The sequence below is a fragment of the Homo sapiens genome, chromosome 8, assembly GCF_000001405.40.
Source record: "Homo sapiens chromosome 8, GRCh38.p14 Primary Assembly".
Classification (NCBI taxonomy): domain Eukaryota; kingdom Metazoa; phylum Chordata; class Mammalia; order Primates; family Hominidae; genus Homo; species Homo sapiens.
The window spans coordinates 35,687,030-35,712,107 of NC_000008.11; the positions used below are offsets into that span (position 1 = coordinate 35,687,030).

A 25,078-nucleotide genomic window follows, 5' to 3' on the forward strand; every position below is an offset into this window, starting at 1 on the left:
TCTGATACTGATCACTCTGTGGTTATATTTCCCCCCAGGAATTTTGCAAACACAGTAAAGCATTTAATACATCTTTAGAGACCATGGGTTCTGTGGCAAGGAACATGTCTTATTACTGTTACCTTAAAAATAGGCCGGGCGCAGTGGCTCACGCCTGTAATCCCAGCACTTTGGGAGGCCAAGGCAGGCGGATCGCGAGGTCAGGAGATCGAGACCATCCTGGCTAACAAGGTGAAACCCTGTCTCTACGAAAAATACAAAAATTAGCCAGGCGTGGTGGTGGGCGCCTGTAGTCCCAGCTACTCAGGAGGCTGAGGCAGGAGAATGCCGTGAACCCAGGAGGTGGAGCTTGCAGTGAGCCAAGATTGTGCCACTGCACTCCAGCCTGGGCAACAGAGTGAGACTCCGTCTCAAAAAAAAAAAAAAAAAAAAAAGTTATGGGGAAAGGAGAGTGATACCTGAGGAAGTGGGTGGCTTTGTATCACAGTGGTCTGGCAGAGTAGCAAGTAGAATGTTTGTTTCAAAATTCCCAAGTCTTGGCTTTATTCCTGAGATTACATTATTACCATCACCAAGGGACTGCCTGCCTGGGTTAGAAGGCATGGGAGGGTCAACTAGAGTCAAAGAGAAATAGGTTTCAATTTGGTGCTCTTCCTTATTTACTTTGTGTTCTTTGGGCAAGTTGCTTAACCTCTTATCTTCTCTGACTATAGTTACCAAATATGATACCCACTTTTTAGTATTGTCAAGGCTAAATGATAAAATAACATATTTGAATGTTGTATGGCACAGAGTAGGTGCACACTTGATAGGGATCTCTTCTCCACTCACCCACTTAGATGAGTCAAGGTGTATTGATTTTGCTGGGGTCTTTAAAAAACACGAGGTCAGGTGATCGAGACCATCCTGGCTAAAACGGTGAAACCCCATCTCTACTAAAAATACAAAAAAAATTAGCTGGGCGTGGTGGCAGGCACCTGTAGTCCCAGCTACTCGGGAGGTTGAAGCAAGAGAATGGCGTGAACCCGGGAGGCGGAGCTTGCAGTGAGCCGAGATAGCACCACTGCACTCCAGCCTGGGTGACAGAGCGAGACTCCGCCTCAAAAACAAAAAAAAACAAAACAACAACAACAAAAAAAAACACACACAAGACTGAGCACTTACTTCTCTAGAACTGGTCGCCTTCTCGGAAATTTCTCTGGGAAATATCCAGCAAAAAAAAAAAAAAGATACCATAGCTTACAAGTTTGTGATTTTCTCAGGGAGATGCATCACATTTTCTTTGGGAAGATGACAGTATGTAGGAAATATCTAAGTTGGGTTTATTCTTCTGCTTCAGTATGACTGAATACCCTTGAAGGCAGGCACCTGCTACCTGTTGTATTTTCAGACTAATTCTGTATGGTTCATACATTGGTTAAAATGATTAGTACATTGAAATGAGCACTTCCTGATAGCCTATAGTGCCTTTATTTGCTAGTACAAGCACTGATTACCCTGCATGCATCAGATACAATGCAGGGAGCTGTAATGGAAGACCACCTACCCACCAGTTGTAGTTTGGGTATGCTCTCCAATAAATGCACACCAACCATCTGCTGCCTTCAGAAAGCTTTCCCGCTTCCTAAATGTAAGGAATCTCAACACAAGCTCAATAGAAGGATATTTAAAGAAATGTGCTTCTCACCTCTCTTGAATACCACCAGATTTTTCTAATACACACATTTGAGGTGTGACTGTTTTCATTTCCACTACAGGAAAATACAAGGAGAACACTTAGAAAACTACACATGGCCAGTGTCCATAGGACGAGTTCATTTAATAAGCCAATAAATTGTTTAAAGCAACTACCTGAACTATGACCATGAGTGGCTTCAAGGAAAGAACTAAGCTTTTTGAATTTTACAAGTACATATACATCTGGTCAATTTTATGTGTCAACCTGACTGAGCCATGGGATGTCCAGATATTTGGCCATGATTATAAATTAGTACAGTTGGGCAGTGAATTTTATGTCTTCTAAAGAACCATGACAATATAACTATTTGGCTACTGGTTGAAATTTTTATAGTCATAGTAATAACCTTCACTAACAACCACAGGTTGTACTTGCACTTGGGGAAAATCAATGGATATCAGGCTTCAATCTTAATTGACTAAGACTTAATCTGAGAATTACTGATTGGAGACAGATAATGGTTATCTCTTAATGTAAGAAAGAATTGTTATCCAACACACAAATATTATTTTTTTGCATTTGCATTGTAATAGTTTGTCATTTACCAATTGAATAAGAGTTCTGTTTAAGGCTGAAAGAACTTAATCAGCACTGAGAGTGTACTGGCAAGCCTCGATCCTAACTCTGATATCTGAGATGCTGTATTAGTCAGGGTTCTCCAGAGAAACAGAACCAATAGGATATGCACACACATAGAGGAAGAGTGCAATGGAGAGATATTTAAAGATATTTATTATGAAAATTGGCTCATGTGATTCTGAAGCCCAGCAAGTCCAAAATCTGCAAAGCCAATGTCCCAGTTCAAGCCCAAAAGTTGGTAGGCTGCTATGGAACCAGGAACATCTGATGGCCCAGTTGGAAGGCTGTCAGGCAGGAAGAGCCAGTGTTCTAGTTGGAAGGCTGTCAAGAAGGAGCATTCTCTCTTACTCAGGGGAGGGTCAATCTTTTGTTCTATTTAGGTCTTCAACTGATTGGATGAGGCCCACCCACATTATGGAGGGCCGTCTGCTTTTTTTTTCAGTCTGTGAATTTAAATGTTAATCTCATCCAAAAACACCCTCACAGAACTATCTAGAATAATATATGACTTGATATCTGGGCACCCCATGGCCCAGTCAAGTTGGCACATAAAATTAACCATCATGGATGCATATGTGCTTTTGTGAAATTAAAACAGCTCAATCCATTCCTATAGTGGAAATAACATAGCTAGGAAGATAGGCTTGGAATGTGTAAAAAGATCTCTGTTAAATACCCCCATGAGTTGAAAATGCTACATAAGCCTTTTCTTTCTATTCAATCTATTAATTTCTTCCATTTCCTTTTTCACTTCAGCATGTTTTTTCTAGCCTTCATTGTATGCATATTAGTATATTTGTCAAATATTATCAGAGGCTTTTGATGGCTATAGTGATGAAGAGTTTTGAAGGAGAAAGGGTGAAGTCTATGAGATTATTGATGTAATTGAGATATATTTGCATATCAGTGGGAAACGGGTGTGTTTGTAAAAGCCCAACTCCAGGATGTATTCTGTCCTTTTAGATAGAAAGTGACTACCTATATCAACAAAAATGAGTAACACCAGACATGGTGGCTCATACCTGTAATCCCAACACTTTGGGAGGCCAGGGCAGGAGAATCACTTGAGTCCAAGAGTTCAAGACCAGCCTGGGCAACATAGCAAGACCCTGTCTCTACAAAAAATAAAAATTAAAAAAATATAAGCCAGACATGGTGGCTTATGCCTGTAGTCCCAGCTGCTCTGGAAGCTGAGGTGTGAGGATGAAGCTGCAGTGAGCCATGATCGTGCTATTGCAGCCCAGCTGAGGCAACAGAGTGAGATCCTGTCTCAAAGAATAAATAAATAAAGATAACACTTCACTATCTCTTCAGGAAGCAATGGACAGTAATCCAATTAAATGATGCCAGCATCACTCTGAGGCTCTCACTGGTACTCTGTCGGAGTGCTCTTGGTGAAAATAGCTGTGCTCTGAGGATAGAGCTCCAGTGAAGGCTGGCTTTGATTAAAATAGCATTTGGCAACAGCTTTATGGAGCAGTAGCTTTGTTGAAGAATCTAGGTCATATTACAATTTGGGAATTTTCTTCATCCTAATTTTCTTCCTTGACACTCAACATGACCCTAAAGCAATTCCTCAATTTCCACCTTCTCGTGGAGGATTCACAATGGCATTTCTTGGCTCTTAGATGACCTACATGTCTTTGATTTTATTTAGCCTTCAACAAAACAATTGGTTTTTCTTTGTTGTCTCTGAGGGTTGCATTTCTCCTAGAGATGAAGCTGCCAGCTCTGAATGATCACTTTAATATTTGGGTGTTATTGTTGCTTGGTCAGTTGTGACTAGAACACAGAATCTTAATGTTACACTGTCACAGATGGCCACACCTAGATGCTCTCAACAAGAAAATAAATACGGCTGGCACAGTGGCTTATGCCTTTTATGCTAGCAGGTGGGGGACCCAGGAGGGAGGATCACTTGAGGCTAGGAGTTCAAGACTATCCTGGGCAACATAGCAAGACCCCGGTCTCTACAAAAGAAAAATGAAAAACTAGCCAAGTGTGGTGGTGCATGCCTGTAGTCCCAGCTATTTGGGAGGCTGAGGCAGAAGGATCACTTGAGCCCAGGAGATCGAGGCTGCAGTGAGCTATGATTGCTCCACTGCACTCCATCCTGGCTGACAAAGGGAGACCCTGTCACTTAAAAATCAAAAAGTAGGTAAATGCCCCAAGACTGGTAAGAAGCAGATTAGGAATTTTGGGGCAATAACAGTGAATCCACGAATCTAAATTACAAGCATAAACATGCAGTGCCTTTATACTAGAGTATTGCTTTTCCAGAGGAAAAAGGTAATGATGTGGTATGACTGTCAAGAAGCAAGAACTTGTTGATCCATGTTTTCTGAGCTTGAACACCAGAATCAGGTAGTTTCCTGACCATTGGACTTTCTCCTTGCTGTACATACCTGCGTTTGTGCTCTCAGATCACAGCCAGAGGGAAATAAGCTGCGCATGCCTCATTGACAGGAAGAGAAAGGTGAAAATAGCAGGGTGTTTAATTTGATCCTGAGGAATAAGAGAAGCCAGCTCCCTCTCTCTTAACCCCAGCAGATATAAAACTAAGGGCATTGGCTTGAGAAGATTAAATGGGTATGCTTCAGAAGGGATTAGCACCTAGATGTGTAGTGAGACTAAAGCTAGAGAAATGCCACAGGGGCCTGAAAGAGGAAGTCTCCAAGGCTTAGCTACCTGATAGCTAGTCCGTTCGTCTTGTCAAGGTATAACATAGGTCAGTTCAACATTGACAGTTCAAAAACTGAAATATCAGTAAAACGGTGGTTTTCACTTCTGATGGCTACAGTGATAAGAAAAGTTTGAGTTGATGGTTAGGAAACCCCATCAAGGATAAAGATGTCTACACAATAGCAGGTTTAAATAAACATCCCCAAGCTACATCTAATAATCTAACCACATTGTCTATTCAATGATCTACTTAAATGACCTAGACGAAGCACCTGAAAAGGTGAACCTGTAATCACAGGAAAGGCATGTTTGCTTTGTTAAGCATTTTCTCTTGGACCATTCTAAACCTCATTGTTATCCATTACAGTAATTACCTGAGTTCCTTCCCTGTATTTCCTAGGGCACTGAATCAGAGAAATTTCATCCTGGAGATAGCTCTACACATTTAAAACAACTTATTTCTGTACTAGTGGTTTTATGGAATACTTCTTTTGTTTATGGGATTATAATGGATGAGTGTCCCTTTACCCAAACAAAATCTGTCAAGTCCTTTCTTTGGTCAGAGTCAGAAATCATACTTGACTCAATCTAGACTTTTTGTTGGACAAGTTCATATTTCAAAACCAGCTGAACCAGCCACACTGCACAATTGCTTAATGATAGCGTAGTTAAACTCTCTAAAGTCAAGAAATGAAAATGCCATTAGCAAGTTAACATACCAGCACAATATATTTTTATGTGGCCATGAAGCATCCTACTGCTCGCTAATTCTCCCAAGTACTTTTAATTTATAGGACATAGTAGGTGCTCCTTTTTACACAAAGACTTTTTCCTAGAAATACTCAATAGCTTGCCTTTCTGCATAACAATTGATTAATTCATAATTTGCCTTCATGTATACTGCATAGCAAATGTGGATATAATATTGCAGACCCACAGGAGTCATAATAATGTAGATTTGGGCACATATGGTGTCATTAGCAGCTTAGCAACCATCTCTCCCCCATGCCCCAAATAAATGCTTTCCCATTATGGGACCAAATATGAAGACCAGTGAGGAACAAGCTTTAATAAGACAGAGTGGAGTGGCTCAGGAGTGAAGTTTCTTAAAAAGAAAATAAAGCAGACATAGTGCAATATTCACGTGTCTTCGTGAAGGCTTTAAAAACTATTTTTTTTACAAAGCTAAAACTGTCATTTTTGTGCCTCTCGATGGGCACTTGCACTCAAGTGCCATATCCTGAGTGGATTGGACATAAACAAGATCAAGAATAAAATGCACGCAACAAATTACCGTAACGCTTCTCCCTTAGTTGCCCATCCACTACTGACTTTTCTATTTTTATGCCTTGTTAATAAAAAGAAAAAGACATTTGTTTTTTTGAACATGATCTCCCTTCTCAATGAAGACTGGCCTTCATCCATTGGTTTATGATGGATGCGTATTTCATAAGCTATTAAAAATCTGTGGCCTTTGTTACCAACCAGGTCTGAAACACTTCAGATGCCTTTTGTCATCCAGAAAACTTTTTCTGTTGTCACCATCTTCTATTTCCTCATGGATCTGTGCCACAGGTACAGAGCTAAGACACAAGAGCCTAGGTAAGAATTGCTTTCTCAGCTAACAGAAATGAAGGCAGTTATTCTGCTTGTCTCTCTTTAACGATATCTCCTTCTACCTACATTTTCCCATTGCTACCCACTTTTTCCCCCCAAGATATTTCAATATGTATTTTTCCACTATGCTTGCATTCTTTTGGTGAAATTAGACAGGAAGTCCTATGTAGCACTTCAGAAACATAATCTCTGGAAGTTTGTTTCTCTCAAGCACATCTTGTTAACTTTGTTCATTTTATGAGAGAAGTCAAAATAAAACACCTCCACTGTAAGTAAGGGCCCTAAAACTGAATTTGGGCAGCTGGAGAGCAGGATGCATGTACCTCAAGGTCATATTACTTAGAGAGCGAGGAAAAAAACGAAAGCAAAACAAAGTAAAACATAACACAAACCCAAGAAAACTAAACAAACACATAAGAACGAGTCCCTGTGATGATGTAAACTGGAGACAAACCCATTAGGAAGCTTAAAAACATGTCTTAAATTATAATCTTAGAACCAGCTCGTCGGTGAGAGTGCAAATCCCTAACAAAGACAACTTTTACAGATGATATCCCCGAGAAACACTGAACTGGGGACTGTTGGAAGGTACAGAGGTTGAGCTTCAGTGAGGCTGGCCTAGGTTGGGCCTAGATTGATCTGGCATTCAGAACACAGGCTAAATAGCCCTCAAAGCTCCTTTGTGACTGAGTTAAAACCAGCTGTTTTCTTTTTGAGGTACTCAAAATGGACAGACAGGAACCTAGAATTGGAAGAAATGAATGAATTGAGCCTGTTGGATGTGAATATCCATCCTTTAAATGAAGGATAGGTTGAAGCCTCAGGGCTCTGCAGTGAGATAGTTTGAGTTTGAATTCTGATTACAATACTATAAGCAGGAACACCTTGAACAAGTGTCTTAATTTCTCTAAGCTTAAATTTGCTTATCTATAAAACAAAAATTATAACAGTATCTATTACAAAGGATTCTTTGTGAGAAGATAAACTAATCTGAGTGAAGCATTTTCCCTCCATAGTAAGCACTCTATTATACAAAATAGCAATAACTATAGTGTGTGTGTGTGTGTGTGTGGTGTTTTGTTTTGTTTGAGACAGGGTCTCACTCTGTTGCCCAAGCTGGAGTTCAGTGGCACAATCATAGCTTACTGCAGCCTCAAACTCCTGGGTTCAAGTGATCCTCCCACCTCAGGCTCCCAAAGTGCTAGGATAACAGGTGTAAACCACCATGCCCAGCACATGTGTGTGTTTTCTAATAAAGGAATTCTTGTGGCAGAAAAAAAATGTTTTCCATGTTCTGCAAGAGTATCAACAGTGAGATACTTTCTATGTTTCATTAACACGTTTCCTAATATATCTGGTTAAGATAGTGTCTAATGAAATAAAATGTACTTGTCATTAAAATCTATAGAAGACATTATTTATACATTCATTACATTCTTTATACAAACTATTTTTGAGCAGTAATTTGAGAAATACTGTCCGCTGTCAAAAAGAGTTTGGGAGAATCCTAACAGTTCCCAAGGTATCTTAAACTTTCTGTTGGACAAAAGAATCAATATCCTTTCCTAGAGCTTCTGATAAGTAGCTGAATGAACTACTCTCCATTTTCTATCCTTCCTCTGCTCAGCTGGTAGGATTTGGTCCTGAGAAGGTGACAGACCAGGGGATCTATAAGGTCCCAACACGTTCTAAAATCTTATGATTCTAACTAACAGTTAAAAACAACTCAAAGTCATACATGGTTGTGCACACCTATATAGTCCCAGCTATTCTGGAGGCTGAGGCAGGGGGATCACTTGAGGCCTATAGTTCAAGGCTATAGAGCACCATGACTGTGCTTGTAAATAGCCACTGCACTTCAACCTGAGCAACAGGGCAAGACTCTGTCTCTTAAAAATAAAATAAAATAAACCCTCAAGAGAAAGGCTCAGGAGAGGGAAGGAAGAACACCTGAACCACAGGTGAGAAAAGCAGTTCTTGCCATATTGAGAGTAGGATATACAGGCTTCTCTCATTCATAAGAAATACATGTATTCTGACAACCTGGCCAGAAAGTATTTTTATATTATTTATTTATTTATTTATTTATTTATTTATTTATTTATTTGAAATGGAGTCTTACTCTGTCACCCAGGCTGGAATGCAGTGGCACAATCTTGGCTTACTTCAACCTCTGCCTTCTGGGTTCAAGCAATTATCCTGTCTCAGCCTCCCGAGTAGCTGGGATTACAGGTGTGTGCCACCATGCCTGGCTAATGTTTGTATTTTTAGTAGAGATGGGGTTTTGCCATGTTGGCCAAGCTGGTCTCACACTCCTGACCTCAGGTGATCCACCCACCTTGACCTCCCAAAGTGCTGGGATTACAGGTGGTAGAAAATATTTTTTATAAAGCAAATCCTAATTTGTCAACACAAATTCAAAAATTCTTTCTCAATGGAGTCAGGAGAAACGAAATCCAACAACATATGCATTACTAGACTGTACTAGACTGTATAGCAATTTATAGATTCCGGGATTACTGTTCTGTTGTGAACCAGTTCTAGAACAATGATTTGTTGCATGCCTGATACTTCTCTTACTCCACATTCCCAGATTCCAAAATTAGCAATCTTGCCATATTTATTATCAATATTTAATTTTTTTTTTTTTTTTTTTTTTGCTGTCAGTTATGATTGATATCCAAGGTCCCTTCTAGTCAGGATGTTTCCAAAGTTTAGGCTTTCTGTCATATAAACAAAACTATCCTCATTTTATTAGTTCTGTAAATTACAAATTTTACATTTGCAGTGTAATTAATCAGGATTCAACAGCACAAAACCCCGGGTAAGAAATATTAGTCTGGACTAGAGAAAGATTTAATGTCTGAGATCATAGAGTGGTTTGGCTATAAAAGAAGTGGCAAGAACCCAATCAGGGAAGTGATTTAAAACTGAGTAATCTACTGTTGTGAAAAACTCAGTGGCCTCTGGGGTGTGCTGAACAAAGCAAATTAATAGAGATAAAGGAAACCTCTTTGTTTTGATTCCACCTATTCTCTTTAAATTACAAACTAAGTACACGTCTCTTCAAGATCATTACGAAAGGTGATAAATATAATAAAGATGAGACTAACATCATCAATAGACGCTATCATTAACTCTATTAACCCTGCCCTTCCCCATTCTCCAGAGTGTCAGTACTGTGAATAAGAAAAGACCTGGCCTTCTTACGTGTGTTTAGTACAGGACAGTGTTAGTGTTCAGTGGAATGGAAAATTGCCATGATCATTTAGAAAGATATCATAGGGTAGTAAAAAGAGCTCTAAACAAAGAATCAGGAGTCCTAGGTCCCAGTTCAGATCTTTTGTTAACTAGTGTGTTACCTTGGGCAAATCTCATAATCTTGCACCTTGTGTCTGTAACTGTAAAATGAGGAAACTGAGCAAGAAGATCTCTAAGTTTCATTTTAGCTTAAAAACTTGAGATAGATAGATACACATACTTATATATATACATACACACACACACACACACACAACATAAGCACATTAAAATAGATACACATATATATACATATAAAGTATGAATATACATTGCAGCTATATATTTACCAGCTTCCAGATATATATGCACACACATATTAAACATATATATACACATATATATAATATGAAAATAACACCACTGACATGTCAGTGACTTCAGATTATGTTTTTTTTTTTTTGGAGATTATGTATTTTTTAATGAGTTTTGAGGAGAAGTTTATTCTCATTCACACCTAAAATCAGCCATTTGAGTGGCTGTTACGTAAGGTGACTTGGGCATCTTTTAGATGTGAAACAAATTGCCCTACCCCAACAAAACAAGTTGCTGGCCTCACTTAGGGACTGACTTATCAAATCCAGCCTCTTTAGCATTGTACTCCAAACTCCTCATCAAGTAGCCACAACATCCTATGAATTCATGTAGAACATAGGAAATTGATGAACCTTGACTTTGTAATATTTGTGATTGCAATTACGGACACTGTATAAGGCTTAGCAGCACTGATTCATTTGACAGATATTTATTGAGTACCTACTATATCCTATTTATTGTTCTAGGTACTGGAAATAGGTAAACAAGACGGATGTAGACCCTATGTACAGGTAATTTGGTCTGTAATGTTAGATAAATGTTTGGTCTAGCATGAGGACTAATGAAGCTGAAAAATAATTTGGAAGTCAAGGGTCCTCAATTTACAATTTCCCTTTAAGCATTTTTTAATGAGTCAGGACTGATAGCCTCATATCAGTTAAGTATTTTCTTAGTCATCATAACAAACACTTCCCAAATCTCAACCCCCACCATCTTCCCTCTCCAAACCTCCCTACCTCCCTCCTGAGCAATTTAAGGAACAACCAACCCTTGACACAGCAGGAAGCCACTGTGACCCTATGGCAAGGCTGGCACTTACAAATAGGATTCCTTTTTTACAACTTTATTGAGGTATACTTGAAAGTTAAAAATTGTATATGTTTAAATTGCACAGCTTGATGATTTGATATATGTGTGCTTGTGCAATAGTTGCCACATCAAGCTAATTAGCATATCCATCACCTCACATAGCTCCTTTTTTTTTTTTTTTTAGTCCATGTGTGGTGAGAACATTTAAGTCTTGCCCTCTTAGCAGATTTCAAGTATACAGTACAATATTGTTAACAGTAGTCACATTATTTCACATTAGATTTCTAGGACTTCTTTATCTTGCCTAATTAAACTTTTTACCCCTTGACCATTATCTCTCCATGTCCTCCATCCCAGCCTCAGCCCTCAGCAACCACCATTCTACTCTCTGTCTCTATGAGTTTGGTATCTTTAGATTCCTCATATAAGTGAAATCAAACAGTATTTATTTTTCTGCATCTGGCTTGTTTTACTTAGTATATTCTGCAAGTTCATCTATGTTGTTGAAAGTGGCAGGATGTCCTTCTCTTTTAAGGTGAATAATATTTCATTGTTTGTATATACTACATTTTCTTTATCCATTCATTTGTCAACAGGCATTTAGGTTGTTTTCATATCTTTGCTATTGTAAATCACGTGGCAATAAACATGGGAATGTGGATATCTTTTCAATATATTAATTTCATTTTGATATTTTTAAACAATTTTTAAATATTTGAATATCACTCTTGCCTCAAGTCAGTGATTATCATGACATTAACCAATACATGATTATCTTAAGCTTGAATTATAGAATCTGGACTTTTTGTTCCATTTTGAATATATACAGTATATATTTCTATTGTGACTGGAAGGTAGGGGATCAAAGCAAAAGAATTCATAGGTTAGAAAAAGGACTTTATTATGCATCTTCCCTTGGAGCAGAGTTGGAAGCATTGCATTTTGTCACGTTGAGGCTAATTACTGGTAAGAAAGTCTCATAGATATTGGCTTAAAAGTGTTTGCAGTGGCCCAAGACCATATTTTACTCTGCATATTCATCACAAAAACTAACACACATGGAATCAGTAGGAATGGATAGACATCACAATGAAGTTGGTATCAATCTAGATGTTTCAATGATTGAGCTCAAAAATATGTAAATGCCACTTATGAGCATAGTCATTAAGGATACTTATTTGTCCAGTCCCCCCAGTTTGAAAGAAAAAAGAGGGAAGACTACATCTCCTGAATGCACACTAATTATGTGCTTTGACTAAGGGCAATTCAGGAAGGTCATTGTCATCAGAAGTGACATCCTTGAGCCATCTGTTTTGGTACCCTTCTGACTTCATCTAATTAGCATGATGGGATCTTGAACAATGCATAGTTAGAAGATGTCAATAGAACCGTTTTTCATTTACTAATGTGCATCTCAACTCATAGAAGTTGTTATTTATGTGGGTGATTTTGCCATTCAGCCCTGGAATTCCACTAATCCTCAGATTTCTCTGGGGAAACCAGTGATTTCTCTAACCGACATCACCAATTGGAAAACTCCAGGAGGAATCTCTAAAAACTTCCTATTCTCTGTGCTTGTCCTCCATGAGTACGCTCAGATTGCATTTTAAAAGGGGTAATAGATCTTGTGATGTCTATACAGGCTGGGAAGCTGGGGGGAGTAGGGTTGAAGTGAGAAAGCAAGAACTGAACTAACCTAGTACTAAGTGGGATAAATATGGTCTCTGAAGGGTCATTGCTGACCAAGATCTTTAAAAATGAACTGAAAAGAAAAACGCAATAAGGAAACTAAAAAGAGTCAAATCTAGAGATGGGTTATATCTTAATCTTTTAATATTTCTGCATTTTTAATCACTGAAATAGTTTTAGGATGTATACAAGAGTTGGAGCTTGTTTTCCTGCATGTTCTATGACCTAAATGAACTTTGAACACTCGGAGGAGAACAGAATCCCCACTTGCCATTGTCTCCCTGACATATTCCGGCATAGTGTTGTTGCCAATGCAAAGCAGACTTCATGTTTGTCTAATTATCCTTCACTGCTAATACAAGGCCTATCTGCCAGGCCCTGGGAATTCCTGCAGCCTTGGATAGCATTCAGAGGGCATAACACCAGCTCTTAATTATTTCTAGTTATGAGGGGAGAGGGAAAGCATGAATACATGCAATACACTGATAATCAATAACCTCAATCTCTTTTCTACCAGTCAGCAAATAAACAAATAGCTCTTAATTTTGTTCCCCCCATCTTTTTCTTGCTGTGACTCTGTGGTCGCAGTGTCACACAAATAAGCATTTAAATATGATTTACATGTTAGGGACCCATAACTGACAGTGATTTTTAAAGTATAAAATATATCAAATGAACATTTGTGATGTTATTAATTTTTGGAAAAAAAATACGTTGTGTTTTAGTGACTATAAGTTAGTTAGACAAACTGTCGAGAGAGAGAAGCAATCCCTGCAAATGGAGTAATCACCAGAGATTTCAGGAAATAATCAGAAATCCATCTGTGCCATGGAGTCAGGAAACTTTTCTGTAAGAACCCTGAAGAGGGAAGGGCTTCCCAAGGCGAGACAACAGCCTGAACAAAAGCTTTGAGTTGACGATGGAGAGAGTTAATAGATTTATCAGACTAGTACATGGATTTGTACTGAGGTGCTCCAGAAACTAATTCATATCTGGCATGGTGGGACCAGAAATGCAAGGCCATAAAGGTAGGCAGAGCAGTTGACCATGACTCAGAGGCAATGTGGAGTCATGTTAGATTCTTTCATGCTAATATTAGAGAATTATTGCAACAAATAAGGAAATAAGCCAGAGAATAGATACAAAAGGCAGACTATTCTATAGACTTCAGAATCAACTCCTAAATCATTTAAGAGTACAAAGAATGTGAAGGGTAAGTTAAAATACAAAACAGTTAACACATATCTTTTTGGGGGTGGAAAAGGTTTCAAAGCATATGATTTATGACAAACAAAATAATTAAAGTGGTCTTTGTAGGTAAAAATACGGGATATGACTAGTCTAGTGAAATGAAAGAATGGTAAACATTGACTGTAATGACGTATTCGAATTGCTGCTGGGAAGTGAGTTGCTGCCCCACTGGGTATTTAGTCTACATTTAAGCAACCCTACTAACTGAATCTTAAAAATGACATAGGCCCTGGTATCAAACATATCTATGCAGTATTCAAAACCAGTGGGAGCAGATTTCAAGTAATCACCAGCTACAGCTTTTGAGGAGCAGCCCTCTGTCTGCAGCCCTCACTCTATGGTTGGAGATGAACCCTTCTGTCCACATGTGCCATCTTCCCCCAGGGCCTACTCTCTGTAGTCCCAGGGATGTGGGCTGCATGCAGCTGACCACGTTTGTTCTCTAGTAGAGGCTGGATATGTAGGGATGATGTTATAAATAGCTGCTAAGAACAATGGATACTATGGAAATGGTTCAGGAGCATGGAATATAAAAAAGGAAGCAAGAAATTAAAGGTGAAAAAGAAATGAATCATCACCAAAAATAAAAGGTAGATTGTTCTCTTTCTCCATCATATAGATATATACCTCCCCCCTCATATACACAAGGGCAGACACAAAGCAATAGCTGCCTTACAGTACTAAGTGACAAAAGCAGATTGCAGAACAATACATAAAAGACAATTCCACATTTTTATAGGTAAAAATGATAAATCACTGGCAATTTTATGTAGTTTCATATCTATAAAATCACAGGGGATAAAGAGCTAGGCTTGTATATATAACTTAACAGTGGTTATCCCTTGGTGCTGGAATTATGCTTTTTTCCCTTTGTGATTATCTATTATATATATTATATACAATATATAATATATATATTTTATTTTGGATGCACAACTACCTAGTAACTGTGTAAGGATAAAAATGAAATAAATGAAAAAAGTGAAATAAAATGTGACAATTTAAAACACTTAAAAATGTTTGCATTTTTAACTTATAAATACACAAAAAGATTATAAGACTGAGTTATAATAATTTATCATCAATTTCCAACTTACTCAGAAGGTACCAATCAGTATATGTTAGACCCTGGGAAAACTGCTATGATTTTTTTCCTAAACTATAGCTCAGCTTCCACTGGGTCAAAATTGCAACATCTCTCACCTGCAAGATATAGGAGAGACCCTTCTGGGACCATTTATATACCATAGCTACCTCAAGGCATCTTAGGGAGGCAGAGACTAACTAAAATTGACCACACAGATCCCAGATATGTTGCCCGAAAGTGATCATGATCACAAAAACCCAAACCTCAAATAATCAAGATCTCTTGGAGTGGGGCCCAGGTATGAGTATTTGTTTGAAAAGCTCCCCAGGTGATTCTAATATGCAGCCAACACCACTAAGCCAACACCACCACCAAGAACCATGGCCCTAATGGATTAATTTACTAAGGGTCATTTTAACTTGGCCTTTGGAGAGAGGTAAAATTAAAGCAGAGAGAATGTAGTTGATCAAGGATGTTCCATGGCCGGGAGCCTTGTGAGAAAATGATTATGCAAACAGAATAAAAGATCATAGAGTGGGTACTTCTTGCAAAGTCAGTGAAGTCAGTGGGTAGCCCTCTCTTGTGCTCATTGTAGAACAATCTCGATCAGATATTTCCTTTTGGGAAAATGCTCTATGTTAGCAGATTCCTGTCAAGGTACTGTTGTTTCACAAAGCACAGCAGAATCCAATTTTGATGCTGATGCCAGGGGACTAAAACCCTCTTGGGCACCAGAGATTTCCAGCCATTTCCATAGGAGGATACACACTGATACAGAAGATATGCTGGAACTTAGCATAACAAGTCCCACTGTAGAGAAGTGGCCGTTTGAATAATTTTTACTCTGTAGAATGTCTTTGGTTGCTGGTCTGCACATTTACAGTGGGTGAAGGCAAGGGAGCCTGCATTCTAGCCCCGCCCTAATTTTTAACATATCAGGAAACTGAAGTTTTGATTTGCGTTGGTCTCATATTAGCAGAGGCCGGAACTAGATACAAGTTTTAACATGCATTCAAGAATCCCCAAAATTCACTAGAATTTCTGATTTGGAGTTGTGACTTCTCTCTAAGCAGCAGCACAAATAGGCATTTTTTTTTTTTTACTCTGACAATGATCATGATAATCATAACAGGTTGAAATTGTGTCATTAGCTATCGATTGTTACATTTATTGATGACAAACATGTGCTAGCTCTATGCTGCATGGATTTCCAGTTATCATGCTTAATCAACAGTAGCAACTTTTAATGGGAATTTGTATTCCCATTTTACTGTGAGAATACTGAGGACACACGGAATGTAGACAACTGAAGGTTTAAATCCAGTTCTGATCCTGGTCTACTAATGCCACAATGCCAATAAAAGTGGCTCCAAAGCTAGGTTAGAGGGGGAAGTGCCGCACTCATGCCTTGTGTGCCCTTGTTGCCTGATTTCTCTGTCTCAAGTCCATGGCCCTGGGCTTTTCAGTCACATTCGTTCATTCATTCTTTCAGAGCTATACCTGATAGAATTCTACTACTCCAATTTTTTCATAGCCTGGCTGTATTAGATTTATTTTTCTGTGGCATAGTTATATATCTCACCTGTTTTTAATGGAGTTTCATTCTGCTACCCAGAGTAATCTTCGTTCCTGTGGTTTAGAAGGAAGAAAATACTGTTAAGCTCAGTCAGAGTTCTAAACAGATGTTCTACATGTCTCCTAGTGTAGTTGTAGCAATGTATCACTTTCAGACATCTCAGCCTTGGCCTGCCAGCCTCGCTGTGCCCCATGCCAAATGCTTTCAGATACTGTGCAATAAGCAAAAACTGAGGTTAGCTTAAAACCACCAAAGTCATTTTATTCTGATTCTTGAATGCATTAGCATCTGGACTTCGAGAGGGACCACCTGCTCTCAGGAAAACTAGTACCGTCACATCTGTTCAGTAAGGGAAATGCAAGTGTTCTCTGTTTTAAGAAACCTGACTATGTAAAAAAAAATCTGACTATGATCATATCAACATCAACAAATTATTATCTTTTATAAGGATTTTTCTTTTTAAAGAAATATTTGCCAGAAATTACCCTTTACCTCTTACTTTGCCTTTCTATTTTAAAAAAATAGTGGCCCATTTTCAAGAGTGTGATTTATACACACCTTGTGAAAGTGACTTCCACAACAAATCAGATGGCAAAACACACTGGAGCTGCATTTATAGCACACTGCATTCATGTAATGCAAGAGCATTCCATAGAAACCATGTTAAATGCAGGAGTGAGTTAGGGTGAGAAAGACTCTATGGAGAACTCAGAATAGAGCTGTGTTGATCTGCGTGGGAAGGGTGATGGTGCAGTCAGTCAGATAATATTTAAGTTCTCAAATGTGTACCGTACAGGATTTGCTTCAGTTAAAAACATAATCCAAAATGACAGTTTCACCTCACATGGCTCACCTTCGGGCAAACAGAGAAGGGGACTGCGTAGGGTCCCCCTACCATTGTGTGAGTCTGTGAATGATTATCAACAGCCTGGATCCCTGTAGTCAGACAATGACTCATCTAAACCCTAAGAAAGGACTAATGAGAAGGAGGAAGCACCATGCAGATCTTCTAGAATCTTGGCATAGCGTCTGAAGGGCAGTCACCTTGGGTTCCTGCATGGTGGTGGAGTTGTGTGAGCCTGAGATGGACGAGGGCAGGGGGAATGGGGAGAACAGGGACTGTGGTATGACATAGAATAAGCCACAGAGGCCCAGTCTCAAAGTGACCTGTAAGATTAGATTATTTTAATGATGGGAGATAGGACAGGAGACAATGAATGGGGGACACTGGGGGCATTGAGAAAATTCCTCAGCTGAGCTCTGACTCCTGTGGCCATGCTGAATGCCTTTTTTTTTTTTTTTTTTTTTTTGAGACGGAGTCTCGCTGTTGCCCGGGCTGGAGTGCAGTGGCACGATCTTGGCTCACTGCAGGCTCTGCCCCCTGGGTTTCAAGCCATTCTCCTGCCTCAGCCTCCCGCGTAGCTGGGACTACAGGCGCCTGCCACCTCGCCCGGCTAATTTTTTACATTTTTAGTAGAGACGGGGTTTCACCGTGTTAGCCAGGATGGTCTCGATCTCCTGACCTCGTGATCCGCCCGCCTTGGCCTCCCAAAGTGCTGGGATTATAGGCGTGAGCCACCCTGCCCAACCTAATGCCTCTTCTCTTAATCCACCTTATCTCATGGGTGCACTGCTAAATACTGTGATTATAAAATGACAACTTTTCCATTGAGAGAGATGGAACAGATTTTAGCAGATAATGGAGATGTGAAACAAAAAGAGTGGTTTCGTAAAAACAAAACTAACGTGTTCACCGTGCCACACCCATACCTGACAAGAATGGATAAACAGGCAGAGTTGGGGACTTTTTATCCAGTCTGTGATCACTGCAAACCAAGGCAGGATCCCTTTAAATATTTATTTGCTGGTTCATTTTTCTATCATCTAGAGTGAAACAGCATCCTTACCTGAGCAGGCTTCTGGTTGTATATAATAGAGTGACAGGCTGAAAGCTCACTGCTTTTCTCATCCTGATAAGAATCTAGCAAATGCAACAGAGAGAAATGCTAGTAAACCCACAAGAAAATAAATTTTTAAATGATGAAGTAATCATCTTACAATTATTTATTTTTCAAAAGAGAAAATTTTTTTAAAAAATAGAATGAAAAAACTATGGACAATGCCATTCCTGTTGTCCATAAAAATGGAGAAAATGTTTTATTTATAGAGGTAGATATAAAGTGAAACAGGAAATATATCTGCTCCATGTAAATTTATTAAATGCAACTTTCTTTTTCTTTCTTTCTTTCTTTTAGATAAAAAACCTCTTCATGAAATAAAACCCCAAAGTAAGTTATTTTTCCTCTTGTGAATATAATTTATTCTCATATTTGCTGCCTTGCTGTTGTATTTGTTTAGGAGCTGAGCAGAATTGAAGTTCCTATGAAAGATCCAGGGCTTTCGAGGCCTCTCCTCATTGAGTTCAGAGTCACATATCAGAGGTTTAAATCCAAAAGAAATATGCACACCCCTCTCCTCCCTCCCAGTAAAAATAAATCGCTCCTCTTGATTCTTTCTGCCTATAAGTCCATTTCTCTGCAAATGTCATCTAGGATTCTTATTTCTGAAGAGATTTATCACATTAAAATTAATAAATATTTGTCAGTACACACTTTCTTGAGAGCAGCCTTGGGCAAAAGCCTGACTACAAGTCTCTCCACCTAGCATCTTACCTCCTGTGGAATCCATGGCAGCTGGGCAGATTAGGATCCAGAACTCCATGGTGAAATAATGACGAGCTGAGGATTGGGGTGTTGGTACTGGCTTAGGCTCGTTGTACCCAGGCTTGCTTATGGGAGAGGCCTTTGCATTGTCTTCATTTTATGCTTCCTGCAGAGCTGGAGAGAGGAGATGGCTGGAATGGCTAGCAGTATGGCATTTGACCTTATGCTCTTTAGTATCACCTGTAGGCCTTTTAAAATTCCCAATTTCCAGGCTGTATCAAGGCTATTGGAATTTAAGGTGGAGGGTTTTCAGGACCCAGGTATCTCTATTTTTCAAAGCTCCTCAGGTGACTCCAAGGTGCAGGTGGGGCTGAGAACCATGATTTTAGAAAAATGTTTCTCAAAAGGTGGATCAGAATCCACATGCATCAGAATCTCAGAGTGTGGCTGGAGCTTGTTAAATTAAATATGCACCACCTCAGAACAGAACAAATAAATTTGAATTCCTGGTTGAGGAGCTCCTAAGAATCTATGTGTTAATATGTTCCCCAAGTCATTCTCATACATCAGAAATATGTAAAGGACGCTAGGGAAACTTCAAGATACTGGGGCAACATTAATACAGCTCTCATTAGTAGGAGATTAGACAACGGCCTGGCTGGTTTGGTTTGTAAAGCTTGTGAAAGACGTCCCTGCCTAGCATCTCTCATTCTAGTATCAACTGAATGACTTTTGATCTTTTAAATCTTAGGGTATTAAAATTCAAAGAGCTTGGAAGAGTTAATAGCTATTATGAGCTAACTTCTTTGAGAGAATTAAGACCCTGTGAGGATAGACAGAAATAGGTAACTTGGGACAGGGGTCACAAGACATGAGGGAAAAATCCAGTAAAGCCATTCTGTTCCTATTTCCTTATGTTGCTTCAGGAAGGCTGGAGATACAAAGATATCATTACTTGCAAAGTCTAAGAATTTGGGAAAACAGCAAAAATAAACATTTAAACTTATTTCCCTGCTGTCTGCTGCCCATTAAAAAAAATCATTACTACTTAAGTATTGGTCCTCTGACATCATGCATGTTTGATTTTGAATTTATGGGAAGACTGAGTTTGGGGGCACCTGGCTGTGTATATGTGTGTTCATGTGTATGGGCATTGAGGGAGAGAGAAATAAACAGATCACTGAATATTTGGCCTGTGCTTGTGTCAGGACCCTCAGGATGACAGGTGGAGTAAGTGGACTCTTACCTTGCTCCCGGCCACATGGTGCATGCTGTCCACTGATTCTGTCATATAGCACAAAAAAGATCATAGGTATCCATGGGGTGGCCAATGTGAGAGTTACTTAGAAATGCATGTATGTGTTTTTAAAATTAATTTCACACTTAGTTTGTGAGTCCTGTGCCATTCTAATTTGGTTACATCTGTACTTCCAGGCATAAACCCCGCAGAAGCCATTTCCAGTCCTTAGGGACTTCAGAATTAGTTTTTGCTTGGGGTTCTCGTTCCTGAGCACCATGCTTAATTGCTGGATACTGCAACGGAATCGCTTAAACTGTTTTAATTTGTGATTTCTCTAAAAATAAGACCTTAGAGAATCAATGTGATTGCAAAAGGCTCCCAGAGGAATCCAATCGGGGTTCTGTAAGCTGCATGGTTAGGAGTGCATTATAGAAATTCAGGCTGCAGTTGTTCAGTGAAAGAGGGGCTTAATGTGAGACTACATGAATCATCACTAATGCAAAATCAAAGTCAATTATGAAGATAATTGAGAAACAACCTGTGCCTATATATAGCCATACACATGATCTTCCATAAGGCCTGGCAGATAGAAAACATCACTCAGAGCTCTGCACAGAGTGCTCCATGAGCAGGCAGGCAGAGGCACGAGCTTAGAGTTGCGGGGAGGTGTAAAAAGAAAGTGAAGTCTTAAGATATCTGTTGGCAAATCATAATGACAAACTGGGGAAAATATGTGCACTGCATAGCTCATGAAAGCACTTATTGTAAATGAGATAATTTAATCAATTACGTTTCCTAATGTACTAAACCGAATGTTTCATTTTCTGCTTCTGCACATCTTAAATTATCTTCAGGTGCTTTATGAGATTTAATCATAGTTAATAGAAACTTCATTACCATCAAATGTGCTTTCAATAAATGTTGTGTAACAATGTCAGGAGGTGCGGTAAAATATAGTAGGTTCTGAATGGCAAACACGCACCCCTAGAGTCAAACTGAAAAATGGTTGCCTTGAGACAATAAGACTCCTTGGAGGCTTGGAGAATACCTTTTTCTGAAAGGCTGTGAGCTTCTGAGTAGCAGCTGGTTTGGTAAGTTCACCTGAAGGGGTGAAAAGGATTTAGCTTTTCCCTGGAAAATGACTCAATACTATACAGTCTCTCTTCATCTCCTTTCCATGCAGTTTTGTACCTAACAGAGATGAGTGTTCAGCACAAACTCAGTTAATAGTTCTAGAGCCAGCTACCTCCAGGATATCTTCAGTTGAATATGTCCTAATAACCTGAATCTCAACTTCCTCAAAGTTGAAATTATCCTTCTCTGTCCCTGTCCTTAATCAAATCCTTTTCCCATCTTCTCTATTTCAGGGAACAGTATACCATCAACTCAGTGTGTAGGGCAGAAACTTGGAGAGCCTCCTAGAGCCCTCTTATTTCCTTCATCTCCCTTTTCCTGCTCAATACCCAACAATTCATCACAATCTGACTATTCTGCCACCTACTAGATCTCAAAAGTTCATCAGCTGATCTCCATCTCCACTCTGCTCAAACCCATCCCTTCTTTCCTTCAGCAACTTACTGAGTGCTGACCTTATGCTAGGAGGTGTTCTGGGTGGTGGAGAATCAACACTGAGCAAAACACATACAGCTTCTCCTTCTATCAAGCTTACGTGTTAGTGAGGAAGGACAGGAAAAAACCAGAAAATGCATAGTGCTGAATGGTATTAAGTGTTATGAAGAGAAGCAGAGCAGGGTGGGGGGCTCTGACAGGGTTAGAGTGAGTGATGCTTTTTGATGTAAAGTGTTCAGGGGTTTCTATAATAAAGTTATGTAGCTGGACGTGGTGGCTGAGTCCTGTAATCCCAGCATTTGGGGAGGCCTAGACAGGTAGGTCACTTGAGGTGAGGAGTTCGAGACCAGCCTGGTCAACATGGTGAAACCTCACCTCTACTAAAAATACAAATATTAGCCAGCCTTGATGGTGTGCACCTGTAATCCCAGCTACTCGGGAGGCTGAGGCAAGAGAATCACTTGAAGCCGGGAGGTGGAGGTTGCAGTGAGCCGAGATTGCACCACTGCACTCCAGCCTGGGCAACAGAGCAAGACTGTCTCAAAAATAAAACAAAATAAAATAAAATAAGTTATGTTTAAGAATAGAACTGAGGGGAGAAAAACAAGGAAACAAACATTCTGGGTAGCTTGGGGATGAGCAGTCAAGGCAAAGGGAACAGCAGGACACAAATGCTATGAGGTGGGAGTTTGGTTGGAGTCTCTGAGGGCCAAAAGGAGACCAGGATGTCTGCAACAGAATGAGAAGTGGAGAATAGTAATAGCTAAGGTCAGAGAAGCAAGGTGAGGGAAGAAAACTTTGTTTTGTTATAGTTTGAGTTTGTTATAGGTCACTGTAAGGACTTTGACTTTCACTCTGAGGAAGCTGGGAAACCATTCAGGGCTTTTATTTAGAGTGACATGACCTAATATATTCAAGGAAAAGCTCTTAACTGCTATGTTGAGTGTAAACCTATAGGGAACCAGGGCAGAAGCAAGGAGATCTATCACAATGACCTATTATAACAATAATCTGTTATAATACCTAGGCTCTTAATCTAGCTCTAAGATGATTGTGGCTTGAGCCAGCTATGTAGCAAGAGGAATTGTAAAAATGGGTCATATTCTGGATGTCTTTTGATGTCAGAGTCAAAAGGATTTTCTGATGTTTTGGGTGTAGAGTACAAGAGAAAGAAAAATGTTATGGATGATTCCAAAATTTTGGCTATGCAACTGGAAGAATGGAGTTGGCCATTACTGGTATGGGGAAAACTTGGCATAGCAAAACTGGAGGGAGAATCAGGAGTTCAGTGTTATAAATGCTAAGTTTGAGTTACCTATTAAACATTTAAATGGAGAGGTTCAGTAGACAGCCGACGTTGGCCAGACAGTCGAGAAGTCAGAGAAGTGCAGGCTGGTACCATAAATTTGGGGCTTGTCAGTGTCCCGATGATATTTAAAGCCCTTAGGTTGGATGAGATCACTAGATAATGGCGTGAATAGAGAAGAGAAAAGACCTGAGGATGGACCCTGACGGACATTAACATTTAGATGTAGAGGAGGTCAGAAGTCACTACAGAGAAGAAAGAAAAGTAACAGCTCAAGGAGTAAGAGAAAAACCAAATGAAAGGAAAATGGTGTCCCAGAAGAAAAGTCTAAAAATTCAGGCCATCTTCATTCCCACACCAGGATTTCTAGAGTTGCCTCTTTGTAGCCAGTCTTGCCCTGCATCAGTTTATCTGATCTATCTAAAACAAATCCTGATCACATTACATTCCTGTTTAAGCCTCTTCAGTAGCTCAGCATTATTCTTTTTTTTTTTTTTTTTTTTTTGAGACGGAGTCTCGCTCTGTCGCCCAGGCTGGAGTGCAGTGGCCTGATCTCGGCTCACTGCAAGCTCTGCCTCCCGGGTTCACGCCATTCTCCTGCCTCAGCCTCCCGAGTAGCTGGGATTACAGGCGTGAGCCACCGCGCCCGGCCAGCATTATTCTTAAAAGGAAGTCTAGAGCACTTAACATGTATATGATCTGGTCCCGGCTTTCTGTTTTTGTTTTGTTTTGTTTTGTTTTGTTTTGAGACCAAGTCTTGCCCTGTCACCTGGGCTGAAGTGCAGTGGTGCGATCTTGGCTCACTGCAACCTCTGCCTCCCGGGTTCAAGCGATTCTCCTGCCTCAGCCTCCCAAGTAGCTGAGATTACAGGTGTCTGCCACCATGCCTGGCTAATTTTTGTATTTTTAATAAAGACGGGGTTTCACCACGTTGCCCAGGCCCGTCTTGAACTCCTGACCTCAGGTGATCCGCCTGCCTTAACCTCCCAAAGTGCTGGGATTACAGACATGAGCCACCGCGCTGGCCCCAGCTTTCTTTTCTTTATTACCGTTAAGTATTTTCCTTCCTACCCTCTCACCATTGCTGTATTCCTCAGCAAAACAAAGCCCCTCAGTTTGAATGCCTGGTGCTCATGTTGGCCTATAGTTTCCCTTATGTGTTCTGTTACTTCTGACTAAGTCTCTTTCCCTCATCCTAACACTTAACCTGCTTAACTTATTCTTCCTTCAGTTTTCAACTTAGATTTCATGTCTGCAAGGCCTTCAACCTACCACCCTAAGTGTGAGTTAGTTGCTCTTGTAAGTTGCCTCCGTATCAAACTATCCCGTTTTTGTTCTATATTTTCATTGCCTTTATTCTGGTCTGGATTCCCTATCTGATAGACATAGTCCCTGCCATCTGACATACAGTATAGAGTTTTATTCATCATCACACCTGTTCAATTTACCAGAGTCTAGCATGTAGATATTCAATTAATATTTGTTGTGCTGTGGTTTTCATTCTTCCTGCTAACTTCTCACTGGACCTTTTGGTGTTAAAGAAAAAGAAAATTGGCCATGCCTGTAATCCTAGCACTTTGGGAGGCCAAGGTGGGTGGATCACAAGGTCAGGAGTTCGAGACCAGCCTGGTCAATATGGTGAAACCCCATCTCTAC

At 39.7% G+C, this 25,078-nt stretch overlaps 1 protein-coding gene and 1 long non-coding RNA gene across 19 annotated transcripts in view; one reads left to right on the plus strand and one right to left on the minus strand.

Annotated features, from left to right (window-relative positions):
* Positions 1–23,291, minus strand: part of LOC101929550 (uncharacterized) — a 38,158-nt gene extending 14,867 nt beyond the window's left edge. The window contains exons 1-3 of the long non-coding RNA NR_125819.1: positions 19,317–23,291; positions 18,552–18,625; positions 16,651–16,697 (exon numbers count right to left, since the gene is read on the minus strand). This is a non-coding gene — a long non-coding RNA (uncharacterized LOC101929550). The remainder of the gene's footprint in view (positions 1–16,650; positions 16,698–18,551; positions 18,626–19,316) is intronic.
* The window catches only part of UNC5D (unc-5 netrin receptor D), a 561,066-nt gene that overhangs the window by 451,555 nt on the left and 84,433 nt on the right, over positions 1–25,078 (plus strand). For 11 of the 18 annotated variants that reach the window (NM_001438417.1, NM_001438418.1, NM_080872.4 and 8 more), the window contains one exon: positions 18,900–18,932. The exons of the other annotated variants lie outside the window; for them this stretch is intronic. In NM_001438417.1, coding sequence (NP_001425346.1) covers positions 18,900–18,932 — 33 coding nt within the window. The remainder of the gene's footprint in view (positions 1–18,899; positions 18,933–25,078) is intronic. 18 annotated transcript variants of the gene reach the window in all.